We start from the raw sequence: 17,869 nt of genomic DNA on the forward strand, positions 1-17,869 counted from the left end.
GAAGGGCTCTGAGCACCAGTCCTGGGGAGCCGGGGTCAGGGCAGATCCACCTGAAGAAAGCTGGCACATGCTGTGGTGGGAGCTCAAAGACAGAGGGTAAGAAACTACTCAGGAGGCTCCTACGAAGGCCTGGCTCTCAGCCACCCGTCAAAGCCACTGCTGAGGGCAGAGGGAGGTTGTTTTCAGCCGGAGACTCCACTGCACCATCTTATTTTCAACCTCTTGGCTCTGCTACCCAAACTCACTTGGACTGGCCCTGGACGAGAAGAAATGGTAGAAAATTCTTCCAGACAGCAATTACTCCTTTGGTCACCTCCACTCTTATTCTCATTAGCAATTGAAGTAAGGGCCAGTGGAGAGGGAAAAATTGTCGAGCACCTCTGACACTTGGCAGTGCCTACCTGCTTGTGTTCCAGAGGGCAGCTTCAGAGAAAACGGGCACACACCGTCCAAGCCAGCTCAATCCTCAGAAGGCCAGTAATTACCATTGGAATTACACAGCAGCAATGGATCGTTCATATAGGATAATAATTATAATTATACATGAGCATCGCTGTAGAATAATGATGCCTATTGGCTTATCCTGGGAAGACTCCAAAAATGTGATTCAGTCCTGAGGCCTCGGCAATGGGCATGATGAGGGCAGGCTCAGGGGCAGGAGGGCACCCTGCTAGAGCTGGGTGTGGGGCACGTAGGAAAGGGGTGGTTTTCAAAAAGGCTTGAGACAGATCCCTGGCCTTGAGGATGTGCTTCGCATGCAGCCTGCAACCCAGGGAGTGCAGAAAAGAAAAAGTGCATTTGTTTATGGAGCACATATTTGTGTGGCAGGTACCATTCTAGATGCTGGAGATTCAGAAATAAGCCCCCCTCCTCCACCTTCACGAGGCTTACATCCTAGCTGGGAGAGACGGATAATAAATAAGATAAATAAATAGAATATATGGTCTGTTCCATGGTGATAAATGCTGAGGAGAAAAAATATCATAGAAAGGGGTGGGAAATTTATGTGGGGTTAGAGGTGGTACATTTAGATTGGGAGGCCAAGTAAGACCTCCCTCAGAAGGGACCTTTGAGCAAATACCAAGAGGAGGTAAAAGAGGGTCTCAGGGTTTCTGGGGCAGAGGGCTCTGGGCAGAGTGTGTAAGCCACCAGGGTACCTGGACAGTTTAAGGAGCAGCAAGGAAGCCAGGGCAGCTGGACAGAAGGGATGAGTAGCTAACCTAGCCTAGTTGAGATCAGAGAGGTAACCAGGCCAAATCAGGTCAGCCCTGGGCATTTTAAGAACTGTGATTTGTACTCAGAGAAAAACGGGGAGGATGTGAAGTGGAACAGTGCTATGCCTGACATATGGATGAGAGGATGGCCTGACAGCTGTGCTGAGAGGCTATAGGAGGGAAGGGAAGAGGCTGGAGCAGAGGACAGCAGCAGAGAAGGGAGAAGGTGTTGGATTCTGTTTGTCACTGGAGGGTGACCCCAATCCTTGGTTTCTGGGAGATCTCATAGGAACTGCAGCAAAGACACCCTTCTCTACAGCAATCTCCCAGAGAGTAAGGCTTGCGGAGGTCAGCAGCATTAGACCGCGAAGCCTCCACTCATACTGAGAGTGGAAGTTGAGTCCCCGAGGCCCCCATGAGGAGTTCATTGTCCCAGGCCAGGGGAAGTGGGAGACTAACCACCAAAGGCTATCTGAAGAGCCCAGCTCGATGGGATCGCTCACTTCATGGGCCAGCTCAGGCTGCAGAGCGAGAGCCACATTGTCCTGTTCACACTGCTGAGGCCCCGAGGCTGCACTTTCCCTCCTCACCCACTCCTGAGCCCTGGGACAGATTCCCTTCATACCCAGCACTTGCAGGAAAGGGATAGGGAGGAGGGACCAGAGGCAGCAGGGCCACTGAGGGCAACAGGGTTCCTTCTGAGGGCCATGAGAAGCCCCAGAGGGCCGTCAAGTGGGAGACAGTGATGGGATCAGATCTGCTTCTCTAAATGCTGCTGTGGCTGCTGCATGGAGAGCGCACTGGAACCGGCAGGCGAATGAGCCAGAGTAGAGGCAGGGAGACGGCCTCCGTAGGCGGGGGACAGCGGGCGGGGGCGGAAAGACCCACAGGGATAAGTGATATTTAGGGGTGAAGCCAGCAGTTCCCAGTGGACAGTGGATACAGGGAGTTGGGGGTCAGGTAGGCATCAAGACTGACCCTAAGGTTGCTGTCATGCTCGACTGGATGGATGGGTAAGCTGCTCCTGCCTGAGGTGGGGAGCCCCGCACTCAACTCAGATCTAAAGGGACAATCGTGGACTCCGCATGGGATGTGCTGAGTTTCAGATGCCCTGAAGTATACAGGAGGAGGTGGGGCAGTGGCCTTGGAAAACAGGTCTGTAGTCAAAAGAGGCCTGGGGTGAGATGTATATATCAGGGAGTCATTGAGGCACCTGGGCATGTGGGCAGGGGTGAAGTCACTTAGGGAGAGAGCTTGGCAGGAGAGGAGGGGCTGGGTTTCAGCCCTGAGAAGCTCCAACCTCAGGTGACAAAGTAGAAGGGGATGAGTCAGCAAAGGAGACTGAGGAGGGGACTGAGCAGCAAGACGAGCACCAGGAGAGGGTGGGGACGTTCATCAACAAATACTTATTCAGCAGATGTCGAGTGCTATTGGGGAACTACAAAAGACACAGGCACTGTTCTGGAACTTTCCATCTTTGGTGGAGAGGCCAACATCCACAGTCAACAGCCATATCCACCTACCATCTCAACATGAGATGTATGTTTGAAGGGAAGAACGAGGTGCTCTGAGGTACAGTGATAGAGAGGGAGGGCAGGGAGGTAACAGCTTTGGCCAGATGAGAAGGGAGGGCCTGGCGCACACAGAGGGTGCGGTCACACAGCCAGGCGAGGTTGGAGGCTGGCCCTAGGCCTTTCCAGAGCTTTTGGATGAGCAGCCAGCTCCCAGGATGGCACTGCAGGTCCTCACGTGGGTACGCAACCTTCCAGGCCATTGCTGTGACTGTAGAGAAGGAAGGGCTGTCATTTAAACTGAGAGTTAAAGGATCATTCGTGGTTTGCCAGGCAGGGGTGGCATAGGAGAGGTGTGGGAGTGCATTCCACAAAAAGGGAACAAGTGTTGTTTCCAAGAAAAGGAAAAAAGCCTGTGTTCTATTGAGTTAGGGACCCATTTAGGGTGGGGTGTGCCCTCTAGCAACAACCTTTGGAACCATAATACATAGCCAGCATTTACTGCCGGACACTCCACTAAGGTCTCCGTACACTCAGCTCATCTAGTCCTCAGAACAACCCAAGGGCATGAATACTTTTGTTAGCCATATTTTTTCCAGATGAAGATACTTCTCTCTTTCTCAAACAGGCCAAGCTCACCCTTGCCCCAGGACCTTTGCACGAGTACTGCTAGGGACCCAGAGTAGACTGGGGTGGGACTAGGACATAGTGGCCTGTGCCCACTGCCCAGAATGCCCTCTTCCTGACTTCCCCTGTCTTCCTGAGCAGGTCTTAGCTCAGATGTCACCTCGTATACAAGATCATCCTTGGCCTCTGTGTCTAGCCCCTGTCTCACCTACTCTGTCACATCCCCTGCTCTTTTGAAATATTGACCCCTTCCTGAAATCACCCCATGGTGATTATTTGTTGTTGTACTGACAGTCTGACTCCCCAAGTGGGATCAATCAAAATATTGATCTTTCCCTGAAATCGACCCACGGTGATTATTTGCTATTGCGCTAATGGTGTGACCTCCCAAGTGGAATCAATCAAAATATTGATCCCTCCCTGAAATCACCCCCTGGTGATTATTCGCTGTTGTGCTAATGGTCTGACTCCCCAAGCGCAATCAATCGAAATATCCCTTCCTGAAATTACCCCATAGGGACTATTTGCTGTTGTGCTGATGGGCTGACTCCCCAAGCAGAATGTGAGGCCTGTGAGAGCTTGGCCATGTCTGTCTTGCTTAGTTCCTACCTTCAGTGCCTGGAACACACAGCCAAGGAGCTCAATAAATTCATTGTTGAATGACTGGATATAACTTGTCTAATGTCAAAAGCTAATAAGTGGAGGAGGCAGGACTTGAATCCAGGTTTCTCTGACTTCTGGACACCTGCTCTTAACCACAGTGACACTCAATTTGCGTGCTCAAGGGGCTTGGGCCCTGTTGTGAGAGCAGGGTTATTGGAGGTGCCGAAGAGCAAGAGCGAACAGGAAAGAAGCCTGGGCCCTGAGCGCTGGTGCAGTTAACGATTGAGAATATAGGGCTTCAGACACGCTCCAATCTGAGCTCCAAGGCTGAGTCTTCCTGGGAGGGCTGGGAGGGTTCCAGCCTTTCAGAGAGGCCTGCAGGACATTGTTGAGAACACACAGTTCAATGAGTATAACCTGCCAGTCAGAGACAGTTGATTTTTGTCCCTCTCATTCCCTGCCTTCAAGGCAGAGGGGAACGGTGAAAGGAGTTCTAGTAGCTCTTGCCTTTACCCCTTACTGGCCCTGAGGCCCTGGGCAAGTCACTCCAAGATGAGGCCTTGACCTCCTCATCTGTAGCCAGAAGAGGTTGGGTTATGACAACTCTAATATGGTTTCTGGTTTTAAATACTCCACTATAGTGTTGGTCAATGAAGGCAGGGACTATGTATTATAGATTTTATTATTCATGACATCTCTTAGCTAGGGCCCAGCTAAGGCCCAATAAATAATTGATGAATGAGAATGAATTAATGAATGCATGCATGAATGAATGAATGAGAAGACTAGAACATTGTGTCTGTATATAAGGGCTTACAATCCAGTTGAAAGAGAAGATATATCGTGCAACAGCAGGTACTCAGTAACTATTTATTCTGGTTGGAAGACTGCTCTATACTTCATAGGAGGCAATACTGCCAGAAGAAAAAGCCAAACTTCCCTGTGCAGAAGATGAGCAAATAGGATACTGTGCAGAGGATCCTATTTGCAGAGGATGGATTGTGCAGCAGAACTAAGCATAAAGGACGAGAGAGAAGAGTGATCAGCACTTTGGAGATAAGTAGAGGAGCGGTGGGAAAGGCGGGGGAACAGGGCCCAGTCCCAAGACACGAATAAGGAGGGCTTTCATTTCTGTTTTTTATGAGAATTTGATTTTTCGAGACGGTAACTGCAGCAGCATTAACCGCAGGGAGAGAACAGAAAGGCCTAGGCTCACAGGTTATGAGGCTACCCCTGGGTACTAGTGGGGACCCTGGCTAGATTGGGCTAGGACTAGAGGGTAATGGCCTTCAAAGTAAGGTCAGGGGGTTCAGCTCCACATATGCAGGAGGCAACCAGGAGCCATTATAAGACTACCCTGATAAAGCCAGAGTTTAAGCTCTGTAGCCTAACGGTTGCTTCCAGGAGACTGAAACATCAAAGCTTCTCAGGTTCTGACCTTAGAAAAGCTAAGAATGTTAGTGGAATAGCTCAGAGCCAGAGCTGGAGCCAGATGGTTTGTGTCTCGGCTCTTCCGCTTACTAGCTGTATGCCCCTGGGCAAGTTATCACTTTGTGCCACAATTTCCTCATTTGCAAAATGGGGACAATAATAGTATTAACCTCATAATGTTATTAGGAAGATTAAATGAGTTAATGTATATAAAGTGCTTAGAAGAGGGCTTGACACATTGTAAGTGCTATACTGGTGTTAGCTATTATTGTTGTTGTTTTCAAAAGTCGGGAAGGAGAAACTTTATTTTAGACCAAAAGGAAATCTAAGTGGAAGTGTTCTGTATTCATTTGGAAACACTAACTTAGATCTGAAGAGAAGAGTCAGAACTGAAAGAGACCTAAATGTCAATTGTGCAACCAGCATCTTCTATGAAGTCTGATGTTCCATTGCCTCAAAAGCAAGCAGTTTCTTTCCTTCCAGCTGCCTCTCATTTTCTCACTTAAGAGTTAATGCTGCAGTATCTTCTCTAAAAGTGAAATTCTTATAAAAACAGAAATGAAAGCCCTCCTCCGTATTTGTGTCTCAGGACTGGGTTTTGTGTGACACTCTCTGGCCCCTTTCCCCCGCCTTAGCAACAAATGATACTGCTGAAAATAAAACATCCTCCCTCACCCCATGTTGTGAAGATGAGAGTTGACCTCAACCCCGAGATATCACACAACTCCAAACTCAAATGCTGATGAAACTGTTTGTTTTGAGTGGGCGACACCAGAGAAAAACAGTAGAGAGCCACTCCTAGCACAAGTTACACAGGCAGAGTCCGGCCTTTCTTCTCTGGCAGAATGTGCCAACTCAAAGCCAGCCAGGGGTCCAGATCACATAGTGTCATAGTGTCACTGTGCACGGCTAGCATCCCTGACCTTCCCTGGGACAGGGCAGGGTAGAAAATGCCACACACAGGTTCCTGATGGTGAATCACTAGGTGATATTTAATTTCTGACATATCACGGCGAAAGCACAGCCAGGGCAATTTTACTGACAAAGACGAGGGGATGCTTTGTCAGCACTATAGTGGACAAGAGGGCAAAGGCAGACTCTATGTAGACAAAATGTCCCCCAACCCTTTCTTAATGAAAGCCATAAAATGATCATGCATTTCCCAACCACAGTAAAACTACAGCCTCAAGCAAAGGCCTTGAATAGTGTTAAATACCTGACCCTGTGGGGGGCGCATTACAACAGCTGCCAGGCAGCAGGAACATTTCCCTGTTTCACATATGGCCTTTCCGAGAAAGAAAAGACATAAGAGGAAGAAAGAAAAGAAAGGAAGGGGAAATAAGATGATGATGCAGAAGGCTGTTTGTGACTAGAATAAATGCCTGAAAAAGATATCCTTGCAGGAACCAGCAGATACCCTTTCCCTGAGCACTGCTAAAACTGGGTCATGTGAGACCTTTCGAAGGTGTCAGTTACACTTGGTGCACTGTGCAGGCTGGACTCTATGGCAATGCCCTCGTTTTTTGTCTCCTTCAGATAATGTGCCAAATTGCCTATTTAAAACACTGACAAAAGAACGTCTTCTCACAAAGAGGGCCGGGCAGAAGGGCTCTTCTCAAGTGAGTGAACCACTTTCCACCAAGATGGCCTGATGACTGAGGGCCCGGAGGAGTCAATGCAATGGGATTTTGGTGCTATTGTGAGGGAGGTATTACAAGCCATAACCCCTCAAAGAGGCATGATTTGACCCCCATATCACTGAATCCATGGCACAGCCAGTGCTGACAGTGGAGGGGCCCCCTGCTCCTCTTCACATCCTCTTCTACTGTGCTCCCCCAGTTCCACTGGACGGGCAGCCGCCACCCAAGCTTACCACTGGTAGTGGTGAGGACCCTGGGGCTTCTGATTCCCAACTGTAGCTGAATTTCATAGTTTTCACTAAGGTTTTTTTTTATTGGTTGGTTGAAATCTAGCAAATTGTTTTTGTTCACTACAGTTTTCTTCTAACAGTGATCGACACTTTGAGGCTTTTCCATGCACTGCTGTCTTCCTTAGAATAGTCTGCAGACAGTTCCTTGAATATGGAATATGAACATGAATATGGAAGAGCAGAAACCATTTTGAATATTTATTACTCCTCTGGGGTAAATGAAAGGTGCTAAGAGCTCCAGGTTTACGTTTTAGGGTAGGGGTCCCCAGCCCCCAGACCCATATCGGTCCATGACCTGTTAGGAACTGGGCCGTACAGCAGGAGGTGAGCGGCAGATGATTGAGCAAAGCTTCATCTGTATTTACAGCCACTCTCCAGTGCTCACATTACCGCCCGAGCTCCCTTCAGATCAGCAGCAGCATTAGATTCTCATAGGAGTGCAAAGCCTATTGAGAATCTAATGCCTGATGATCTGTCACTGTCTCCCATCACCCCCAGATGGGACTGTCTAGTTGCATGAAAACAAGCTCAGGGCTCCCAGTGATTCTACATTATGGTGAGTTGTATAATTATTTTGTTATATATTACAATGTAATAATAGAAATAAAATTCACAATAAATGCAATGCATTTGAATCATCCCCAAACCATCCCTCCCCACACCCCGGTCTATGGAAAAATTGTCTTCCACAAAACTAGTCCCTGGTGCCAAAAAGGTTGGGAACCACTGTTTTAGGGAATAATTAATCTGATAGCAATGCAGGGCATTTGGGTGTGAACTGTGGGGTATCACGTTAATTGATCCATATCTGGCAATAGCTTTGTACAGTATTAGAAACAACTTCCCCTCTCAAGGACCCTGTATAACTGTATACTCAAGAGTTCTAGTAGCCTTTTTATAGATTCCTTGAGATTTTCTACATAAACAATCATGACATCTGCAAACGGTCTTCATCCTTTCCAATCTGTATGCCTTTTAGTTATTTTTCCTTGCATTATTGCACTGGCTAGGACCTCCAGTAGAATGTTAAATAAAAGTGATAGGGTTAGATACCCTTATCTTGTTTCTGATATTAGGGAGAAAACATTCAGTCTTTCACCATTAAGGATGATGTTAGCTGTAGGTTTTTTTGTAGATGTCCTTTTCCAGACTGAGGAAGTTCTCTTCTATTCCTAGTTTGTTGACAAATTAAGAATGGGTGCTAAATTGTATCAAATGCCTTTTCTATATCATTGAGATGATCATATAATTTTTCTTGGTTAAATTGCTAATATGCTGAGTTACATGAACTGAATGATTCAAATTTTGGACTCTCAGCAGGCACAGAGTCAGGCAGTTAAATCACTGGCAGTTAGGTTTCATCCTTTAGAAACTTGTGTTGAAACTTTGTAATGATGGGTCCACCGCAGCCTTTAACCTGGGGCTAATTTAGCCCCACTACTAAAACTAGACTTTTTCAAGGACTCTACCCAGTATTCAGTATTTGATGAGATTTCCCCATGGTGGCCGTGGGAATGAGGACTTTTTCCTGTGTGAGCCCTGATAATTTTATAGTGAACAGTCTGTGAATTCCTTTCCCAGCCCTCTGGAATTCCCTCATGTGTAGAAGTCATCCTTCAGTCACAGGTTCAAGGGAGCCCTCTGCAGATCTGCAGGGCTGTTTCACGCAGCTGTCTCCTCTCTGCTCTTCTATCTTGCAAATTCTAGCCGTCTCCTTCTCCCCAAACTCTGATTTTTGGCCCCTCAACTTAGTGAGATTGACAGGCTATTTGAGATCCTTCTCCCTGTGCCACTGGGAACTACCTCCCAGCAGTGAACTGGGACAATCCAAGGGTGCTTTCACTGCTCAGGGTCCAAGGCTGACACAAGCTGTTACTTAGACCTTGACTGGTTTCTAGCAATGTGCGGAGGACAGCAATTTCTGTAGTCACAGCTCCCTGTGAACAGAGGCAGAAATTTCACCCACTACCTTTTGTTCACCATCCCTATTAATGGTTGTCTTAAAGCAACTTTACCTGTTTTGCTATTGTGATTGAAAGTATTTTGCATTGGAATGTCACAGAAAAGGGCATTGGAGATGGAATCAGAGGTGCTTTGCTCTCTGACTTGGCAGCATCTGTTATAACCACTGTAGGCCTTAGTTTCAATATCTATAAAATGAGAGTAAGGATGACTGCCTAGCCTACCACTCCAATATGTTGTGAGGAATAAACTAAATAATGTATTTAACACTCACTATTATGGCAGCAGACACACACCTCTGAGCATCATGGTTGCAGACTTCTCATTAGGCCTTCCTTACCTTCTTTCCACTGTTGCTGCCATCGCCCCCTCTTGTGGTTCACTCCTCTCTCCAACCTGTTGGCTCAGCCAAATTTCTCTAAAAATAATCCAGCAGGCCGGGAGCAGTGGCTCACACCTGTAATTCCAGCACTTTGGGAGGCCGAGGCAGGCGGATCACCTGAGGTCAGGAGTTCAAGACCAGTCTGGTCAACATGGCAAAACCCTGTCTCTATTTAAAATACAAAAATTAGATGGGTGTGGTGGCTCACGCCTATAATCCCAGCTACTCCGGAGGCTGAGGCAGGAGAATTGCTTGAACCAGGGAGGCAGAGGTTGCAGTGAGCCGAGATCGCGCTACTGCACACCAGCCTGGGTGACAGAGCCAGAGTCCATCTCAATAAATAAATAAATAAATAAATAAATAATCCAGCAGAGCCACCTGGAAATGCTGTTCTTTAATGAACGTATGGTCACACTGCTGCTCTAAAATGGTTATGAAATGCTGTGTGTTTGGTATATAAAACTGCTTCCCTGGAAAGCACAAAGCACAGTAATATAAAGTGGTGTGCCAGAACTTTTTGCACCATAGGCTAATATGTCTTTTGTTTTTTTGGTCAGGGATACCTGGAGCTGCAGGAAATCCAGGGGAAAGGGGAGAAAAGGGAGACCATGGTGAACTGGGCCTGCAGGGAAATGAGGGCCCACCAGGGCAGAAGGGAGAAAAGGGTGACAAAGGAGATGTGTCCAACGACGTGCTCCTGGCAGGTAAGAGGGGTACGCTGTGGCTCTCTTTGAGGGCTTGTGCGCCCAGAGAACTGCCTGGCTTCCAACACCAGGGCTGCTCCTGTGTCTTCTCTCCTTTATGGCCTTATGTGGCCATCTGTTTTGCAGCATGTTTTGGAGTTCTATGCTTTCAAAGAGGAGAAACATGAGCATGTTACTCCATGTGGCAAGACCAGATCTGGGATCTAAGTATAAGTGGTTCAGGTAATTGGGTCTAAAAGCCATGACCCAATTTCAATATTTCTTTTCCAAGATATATTGAAATCCAGCACAATCCAGAATAAGACAAGTAAGCAGGCAACTTACGACACCTCAGAGGACAACTGACAGGAAGCACAAGCGTTTGCTTCACTGATGAGGTTGAGCCATCCTCAGACCCTGATCCTAATGGCCTTTTTTCTTAGAATTGGGGCAAAATATTGTTGTGCCAAGCCCTGGTCGACCTCAGTAGGGATGGCAACAGATTCAAGAGCCAAAGAAGAGACCCAGGGCCAGCAAATGTGACATGGGGCTTTACTGGGGGCTTCATAGAGAGGAGAGAGTCCAGTGGTGGCAGGCTGGACAGGAGAACCACTTTAGGACAAAAACAGCCCAGGGGCCTTGGGCTAGATGAGCTAACTCTCTTACGTGCAGCCCAGGGGCGGTGGACTGAGCAGCCACTTGCAAACAGCATGCAATTTACCTGGCATTTTCGCTTAACACCTGTACTAGTCTGTTCTCACATTACTATAAATTACCTGAGACTGGGTAATTTATATATTTAAAAAAAGGTTTAATTGGCTTATAGTTCTGTAGGCTGTACAAGAGGCATGATGCTGGCATCTGCTCAGCTTCTGGAGAGGCCTCAGGAAACTTGTAATCATGGCAGAAGGTGAAGGGGGAGCAGGTACATCACATGGCGAGAGTAGGAGTGAGAGAGAGAGAGCAAGAGTGGGGTGTGAAGTGCCACACACTTTTAAATGACCGAATCTCGCAATAACTCACTTATTACCAAGGAGATGACCCAAGCCATTCATGAGGGCTCTGCCTCCATGATCCAAACACCTCCCACAGACCCCACCTCCAACACTGGGGATTACAATTCAACATGAGATTTGGGTGGGATATCCACACCACATCAGCCCCCTCCCCTTAACCACCTCCACCTGGCAACCTTAACTTAACCCAAAACTCAGGGCCCTAATTGCCTGCACGGCCCCTGTTCCGTGGGATGGGCCAGGGGCGCAGATGTTCCTCAAAACAAAGAACAAAGCTCTGGGTTGGCAACTCCCAGATTCCCTAGCTCTGAGCAGACATTCAGATGCATCTGCCATCCAGGATCATTCTAAGGATACACTTCAGTTATTGCCATCAGGGGCATTTCCCCTACAAATACAGTGGCTGCTTTTCCAGCTCAGGGGAAAAGCAGACAGTTGGTATTTGTGGGAGAAGAGGGTAAGGGGCAGAAAGCCACAAAGACAATAGCACAGAGGAAAGAGCAGGTGACAGCTGACTCTCATGGAGGAGCAGGAGGCAGAAGAATTTTTAAAGCACAGTACTTTGGAGATCACCTATATGATAAAAATATAACATGTGAACATAACTATATAGTCAGTAAAGATTTAGCAAATACCAGAGAACACCATTTCTGAATCAGAGACTTTGCTAGTAGCTGGAAATGAGGAAGACTTATCTGTCCTCAGGAAGCTAGGATGATGCTAAATGTTCAGAATAATGACCCTGAATCAGTTGCCCATCCAACCGTCTATCCATCCATTCAGACTTGATTGAGTGCCTATTGTTTACCAGGCACTGTGCTTCGACCCACGTATCAAGGAAAGATTGAACTGGGTTTAGTACATTTTGTTTCATTAACAGCAGATGTTGCTATGCAAAACATGTATAATTTAAGACGTGTTTTGACAGGGTAATATACATAAATGTGTTTGAAAAATATAAAATTTTATTACACTTCTGTTACGTAGGAAATCTACACATCCAGAGTACCATGTTCCTCCATGCTGCTGACCAAGTGAGGGGTGATGACAAACCCTTCAGAAAAGCACCATCCCTTATGAACCCCAATTGAAAAGACCAGGTCAGAGCAGAGGGTGTCCCCTGGAGGAGAGTGGAGAGGGCGTAGGAGGTTGGGCCACATCTGCTCTGCCTGCAGATCTCTGCCCCTTCCTGGTGGACAGAGAGCTGCCTCCAGCTTCTGTGGCCCCACTTGTCCACTTGTAGAGAGAATGAAAAGGTCTGGCTGTGAGGAGGCAGCTAAAGAGACCTTAGCTGACTACTCTCTTCCCTTCTTCCCACCCTCTCTCCCTTCTTCTCTTCCTCCCTCCCTTTCTCTGTTCCTCCCTCCCTCCCTCCCTCCCCTTTCCTTCCCTCTCTCCTTTCTCTCTTCTTCTCTCCCCTTCTCTGTCCCTCTCTCCCCTTCCCCCTTCTACCTCTTGCCTCCTTCTCTCCCTTTCTCTCTCTCTCTCTCCAGGTGCCAAAGGTGACCAAGGCCCACCCGGTCCACCTGGGCCCCCAGGCCCTCCAGGTCCTCCAGGGCCCCCTGGAAGCAGAAGAGCCAAAGGCCCTCGGCAGCCAAGCATGTTCAACGGCCAGTGCCCAGGTCACCACCTCTCCCCTACGGGGCCCACCTCTTCTGTCAATTATTCCAAACTCTTGGTCTGCTCCCCAGGCTCTGTGACCAGATTTGTTTTAATAGAGGGAGGAGGGTTTTGTCCAAAATGAAAGTTCCCTTCTTGCAAACTTCTCACAGGAGTTCTTTGTAGTCTGCCCCAGGGCTGAGGACCAGGGACAGTTTTAGAATTAGGCCTCCCACTCCCCTTCCCTCCTTCTGCTTCCTTCATTTACCAGCAGACCAGTCCTCCTCCTTGCTCTGTCCGCCATCCCTCCCCCCTGAAACAGTATGGAAAGCTAAGCTGCTAACTTTTTGCACTCTTGAGAAGTGAGAAGCTTGAATGATGCTCAGGAGATGAAGGGGAAGTTTGGATTGGTTAGGTCCTCACGAATAGTAACAACAGTGCTACATTAAGCCAGGCACAGGGCTATGTGCTTATTTAATTCTCACAACAATCCTATGATATTGAAATCATTATTGTGTCCAACTTACAGCTAATAAAACTGATACCCCAAAGAGCTAAGGAACTTGCCCAAGGTCCCTCCAGGAGTAAGTGGCGGAGCTACGATTCAAACCCAGCTCTGCCTAACTGTAAAGTCCCAGCTCTCAGGGCATCTTCCATTTAGATAGAAATTCACACTTTGAGACCTGACCCAAGGTCAAGCCAACCAAGAGCAAGGAATACTTGACCTCTGGTGGACTTGTTCTTTAGCCAATTTGTGGCACAGTGGCCACAGGGTTGAAAGCTAACTGGAAATCAAGGATTTTATTAATGGAAAATACTTCTAGGGTGATGCTAGGACTTCTCTCCCAAAGGGGTGACCTAGGATCCGTCATCTAACTGAAACTATGAGGAGGGCCACTTGCGGCCATCTCCTCAATGGCACTCATAAGGAGGATCCTCACTGGAATTTCTCAGCCTTGCTGTGGCCATTGCTGTCATTTTCCTAAACAGTCTTGAGTTCTGTTTGGTGCACTGTTCTTTCTGGAAGACGTTTGGGGGCGCACGGTCAGCTGTCAAAATGGGCGAATCTGTGCTTTCGAAGATGGCACCATCCCCCTCCCCAACTCAGTGGAGCCTGATTATAATTCTGCAATGTGAGACCACGGCACAGCTGCTCCTCTGCTGGGCTGCCGTGCAGTGCCTCCCCAGCCATTAGCATCGGCCCTTTGCTCAGCTTCCCTTGAAGAATGAACTGAGCGAGACCTCCCCTGAGAGAAGGGGGCTCTGACCCGAGCTTTTGCAGAATTCTAATTTGCCACAGGCTCTGCCAGCCAGTGACGGCCCTTGTCTGGAGAAGCAGTCTCCTGGGCTTAGCCTAATCTACCAGGGGGCTGGATCGGCAGGGGCTGGATGCAGAGCAGGGAAAATGGCTTTAAATGAAAGGCATTATCTTCCATTCTGCCTCCTAGAAAGGAGTCTTTGGTTGCCAAGCATTTGCATCTGAACTTGGCCCTCTCTCCTGCTCCAACTCCACATCTTTAATACCCTGTAGTTCCCTAAGTGGAAACCCCAGTTGAAACTCCGGGGGCAGCAGGGTTGCCCATGGGAAGTTGTAACAGATCCCCGACACCACTCTCATCAGGTGACAGAAGGACTTCAGGGAAACACAGGCTTATCCAGCTAGAAGGAAGCTTAGAGATCATGGAGGGTCGGGCTCCCTTATTTTACTGATAAAGGAGCCCTTCAGATTACCCTCAAGATTTCCATCAAGCAACCACAAGGTGATTTGAACCCCTCAGGATTTGAGTGGGCCTGAGGTTCAGTCCATGTCCTGTCCTCTTCATCCTGGCCACATTCATCCTCCTCCCTCCTCTCCCTCAGGTTTGCTTCTGCTGCCCTAAGGCACCTCTTCACCAAAGGTCTAAATTCAGCCCATTCATTAAGGGGGACACTGATAACCTGAGGAGGATGAGTCACAGCTCAGCTGTAGCCCCAAGCCAAATTGAACCAGGCCCCTGTCAAGGACCTGTGTTTCTCTAGGCTCTTAGACAGAGACAGTGGGGAAATGGTCATGAGGGGACTCCCATGTCTCTAGGCTGGATGGAATCTAGATTACTTCTTCCTCTAAATCGGTGTTTCCCTGCCTGATGTCTCTCCCAGGAAGATGCTGCATAAAGTGGACCACCCCATTCTCTGGGGCTGCTACTTCACAGCTTCCACCAGCTTCCCTGAAAATGAAAATCCTTCCAGAACAATGCAATCATGATAGTGATGCCACCTGCCAGACAGGCCAGGAAGGCATCAGCAAGCCTCTCATTTCCCCAAATTGCTGAGGCCTTGAACAGGCTGGCTCAGGCCACTTTGTTGCTTTTACTGACGTCCTTTTGGGATTGTATTATCTTAGCAACTGTACTCCTGAAAAGCTTCCTGGGAACTCAACAAGCAGGGCGAAGAATTTGGAAGGCTATGATTTGGAGTTGCTTGAAAGCAAGCAACCAAGGAATCTGGTGATCTATTGCAAGGGATGTTTATGAGACTAGAGTCTGGAATGAGGTGGGGAAGAGCAGCAGCTATAAAGTCCAACAAATCTCACTGTGCCAACCGTATCGGCTCTGATGATTATTGTTGTCATTTTAGGTGAGACTTGTGCCATACCAAATGATGATACCTTGGTTGGAAAAGCTGATGAGAAAGCCAGTGAACACCATTCCCCACAAGCAGGTATAGAAACAAAGCGTCCTGTCTTGAAATTCAGAAATTGAATACCTTCAAGTCATAATTGGCAGGCAAGTGACTTTCTTTTCTCTTCTTTTGGCAGAATCCATGATCACTTCCATTGGAAACCCAGTGCAAGTACTGAAAGTGACAGAGACATTTGGGACTTGGATAAGAGAGTCTGCTAACAAGAGTGATGACCGGATTTGGGTGACAGAGCATTTTTCAGGTACTTGCACTCGGCCTATGACCCATATCTGTGTGGTAACTGTATTTTTCATCTGTTGCCTACCTTTGGGCGTATTCCATTTGTGTGTGTCTGAAATCCCCGGTAGCTGGTGTAATAAATGTCTCTTTATTTTAGAAAGACCAATAAGTGGGCAGAAAACTTTCTTCCTTTGAACATGCTGGTGGCAAGCCTTGAAGTTCAGGTCACAGGGGCATGAGGAGGGTAACCCAGATATCGCCTGTTTTAGGACAAGTATCCAGAAGGAAACAAATAGCATTATGACTGCAGGCCTCATAAACCTCCAAACCATAATGGGAAAAAAATGTCAGAGATGAAATCCTTGTACACCATCCATCTTTCTCTAAGGTTGCCGCCCTCCCAGAAGAGTACTTTTGGCCATCTTTCCCAGCCACCTGTTGGACAGAGAGCCCAGGGAGAAGGTGAAGTTCCACCTTGCAGTCACACTCTATCTGAGCAGGTCCCTAGTTGTACTGTCCCAAAGAGATGTGGTCAGGAATTGCTAGTGGTAGTAACAGCGGCCTCATTAAAGGAGGGGTCTGGCCATAATCACTGGTTGGAGAAATAGCTGAGAAGAAATCAGTTCTTTATTTCATCAAGGCCAGTTATTCAATTGGGAACCTGGTAATAACTGCCCAGATTACCAGGATTCGGGGACTCAAAAAGAAAGTAATATTGTTCATTAGTAGTGGCTGCTGCACAGTGCAGGAAGAGGTGGGAGGAGGCAAGAGGTGATTGCCCAAGCGCCAAGTATCTGCTATTCCTGTTGAAGGCCTATGCCACTCTCATAGAGAGTTTGATAAACAGTATAGAGTGGGGTGGGAGAGGGTGATACATAGTTCTCCCAGGAGCAGCCAGGCCAGTTCAATGCCTACCACATTTGAAAGACATTTCAGAAATCCATATGGAGAATTGGACTTTGAGCTTGGGAGTCTTAGACTCTTCACACTGGACAAGGGACCTTAGGGAACATTTCACTCTCAACTTCCCGCCTTTGAAATTCCTCCCAAGGACTCCCTCCCAAGCTGTGATTGCTGGAGGTAGGTAACAGCCTCTCCCTGGCTTCCCTCCTACAGGCATCATGGTTAAGGAATTCAAGGATCAGCCCTCACTTCTGAATGGCAGTTACACGTTCATCCACCTTCCATACTATTTCCATGGCTGTGGGCACGTTGTTTACAACAACTCTCTCTACTACCACAAAGGGGGTTCTAATACCCTAGTGAGGTAAGTCGCACCACAGCACCTTCTCACGCCTCTCAGGCAGCACCTGTGCTGTGGTGCTTTTGTGAGCAATTAGGGGTAGGGACTGTGTTTTCATCATCTTTGTGTCCCTAGGGCTGACACACTGAGGTCAATCAGGGTTTGTCGACTGAATGAATCACAGGATATGTTAGTGAGCCCCATGGCCCAGCCCCTGCCTGGGGTCTGCATTTGTTGCTGGTCTGGACAGCCCGAGGAAGGTCAGAGCCAGGGAGAAGTAGACCTGGAGTGGTGACGGCCGCAGCTTCCCCATCCTCTGAGAGAGAAGCAGCCCGAACTCATAGCTCCCCCTGGTGGAACGTGCTGCTGCTCCCTGATAAAGTTTTGTTTTGGAAAACTTTGGGTGTGGGGAATTTCGTGTCACAGCTGAGATCATTGAAGACTGGGGAATGAACCCCTAGTCAAGCGTCTCTGCCTTCAGATCCGTCTGTCATCCTGATGGAGTCCTCCCAGGCCGCCCTCTGCTCTCCCATAGGGAAGGGAGGAGGGTCACCTGGGTAGACACTGCCCAAGGCAGCCGCTGAGCCTTCCCCACAAGAATTGCTGAAGTTCTGTCTTTAGGGTTCAAGAAGAGGAAATCAAGCTCTGGCCTTTGGAGGCAGAAGCAGGTCATCTTGGGCAAATCAAGAGAGCAATGAACCGAAAGCCAGGACACCTGGTTTCTGGCTCCAACTCTTGTGCCTCCTCTATGGCCTTGGACAAGAGAC

At 48.1% G+C, this 17,869-nt stretch overlaps 1 protein-coding gene across 11 annotated transcripts in view, besides 2 other annotated features; it reads left to right on the forward strand.

Moving 5' to 3' along the window:
- The window catches only part of GLDN (gliomedin), a 71,711-nt gene that overhangs the window by 42,963 nt on the left and 10,879 nt on the right, over nt 1-17,869 (forward strand). For all 11 annotated transcript variants that reach the window (XM_017022125.1, NM_181789.4, XM_017022121.2 and 8 more), the window contains 5 exons: nt 10,218-10,364; nt 12,853-12,981; nt 15,575-15,658; nt 15,756-15,881; nt 16,976-17,126. In XM_017022125.1, the coding sequence (XP_016877614.1) occupies nt 10,218-10,364; nt 12,853-12,981; nt 15,575-15,658; nt 15,756-15,881; nt 16,976-17,126 (637 nt within the window). The remainder of the gene's footprint in view (nt 1-10,217; nt 10,365-12,852; nt 12,982-15,574; nt 15,659-15,755; nt 15,882-16,975; nt 17,127-17,869) is intronic.
- Nucleotides 1,482-1,982: an enhancer, noted in NCBI's record as "H3K4me1 hESC enhancer chr15:51678296-51678796 (GRCh37/hg19 assembly coordinates)". NCBI's record gives its function as "activates a minimal SCP1, AML or CMV promoter by ChIP-STARR-seq in naive H9 embryonic stem cells {active_cell/tissue: H9 hESC(naive)}" and the evidence as "EXISTENCE:reporter gene assay evidence [ECO:0000049][PMID:30033119]".
- Nucleotides 5,847-6,702: an enhancer, noted in NCBI's record as "OCT4-NANOG-H3K27ac hESC enhancer chr15:51682661-51683516 (GRCh37/hg19 assembly coordinates)". NCBI's record gives its function as "activates a minimal SCP1, AML or CMV promoter by ChIP-STARR-seq in naive H9 embryonic stem cells {active_cell/tissue: H9 hESC(naive)}" and the evidence as "EXISTENCE:reporter gene assay evidence [ECO:0000049][PMID:30033119]".

The sequence above is a fragment of the Homo sapiens genome, chromosome 15 (genome assembly GCF_000001405.40).
Source record: "Homo sapiens chromosome 15, GRCh38.p14 Primary Assembly".
NCBI lineage: Eukaryota > Metazoa > Chordata > Mammalia > Primates > Hominidae > Homo > Homo sapiens.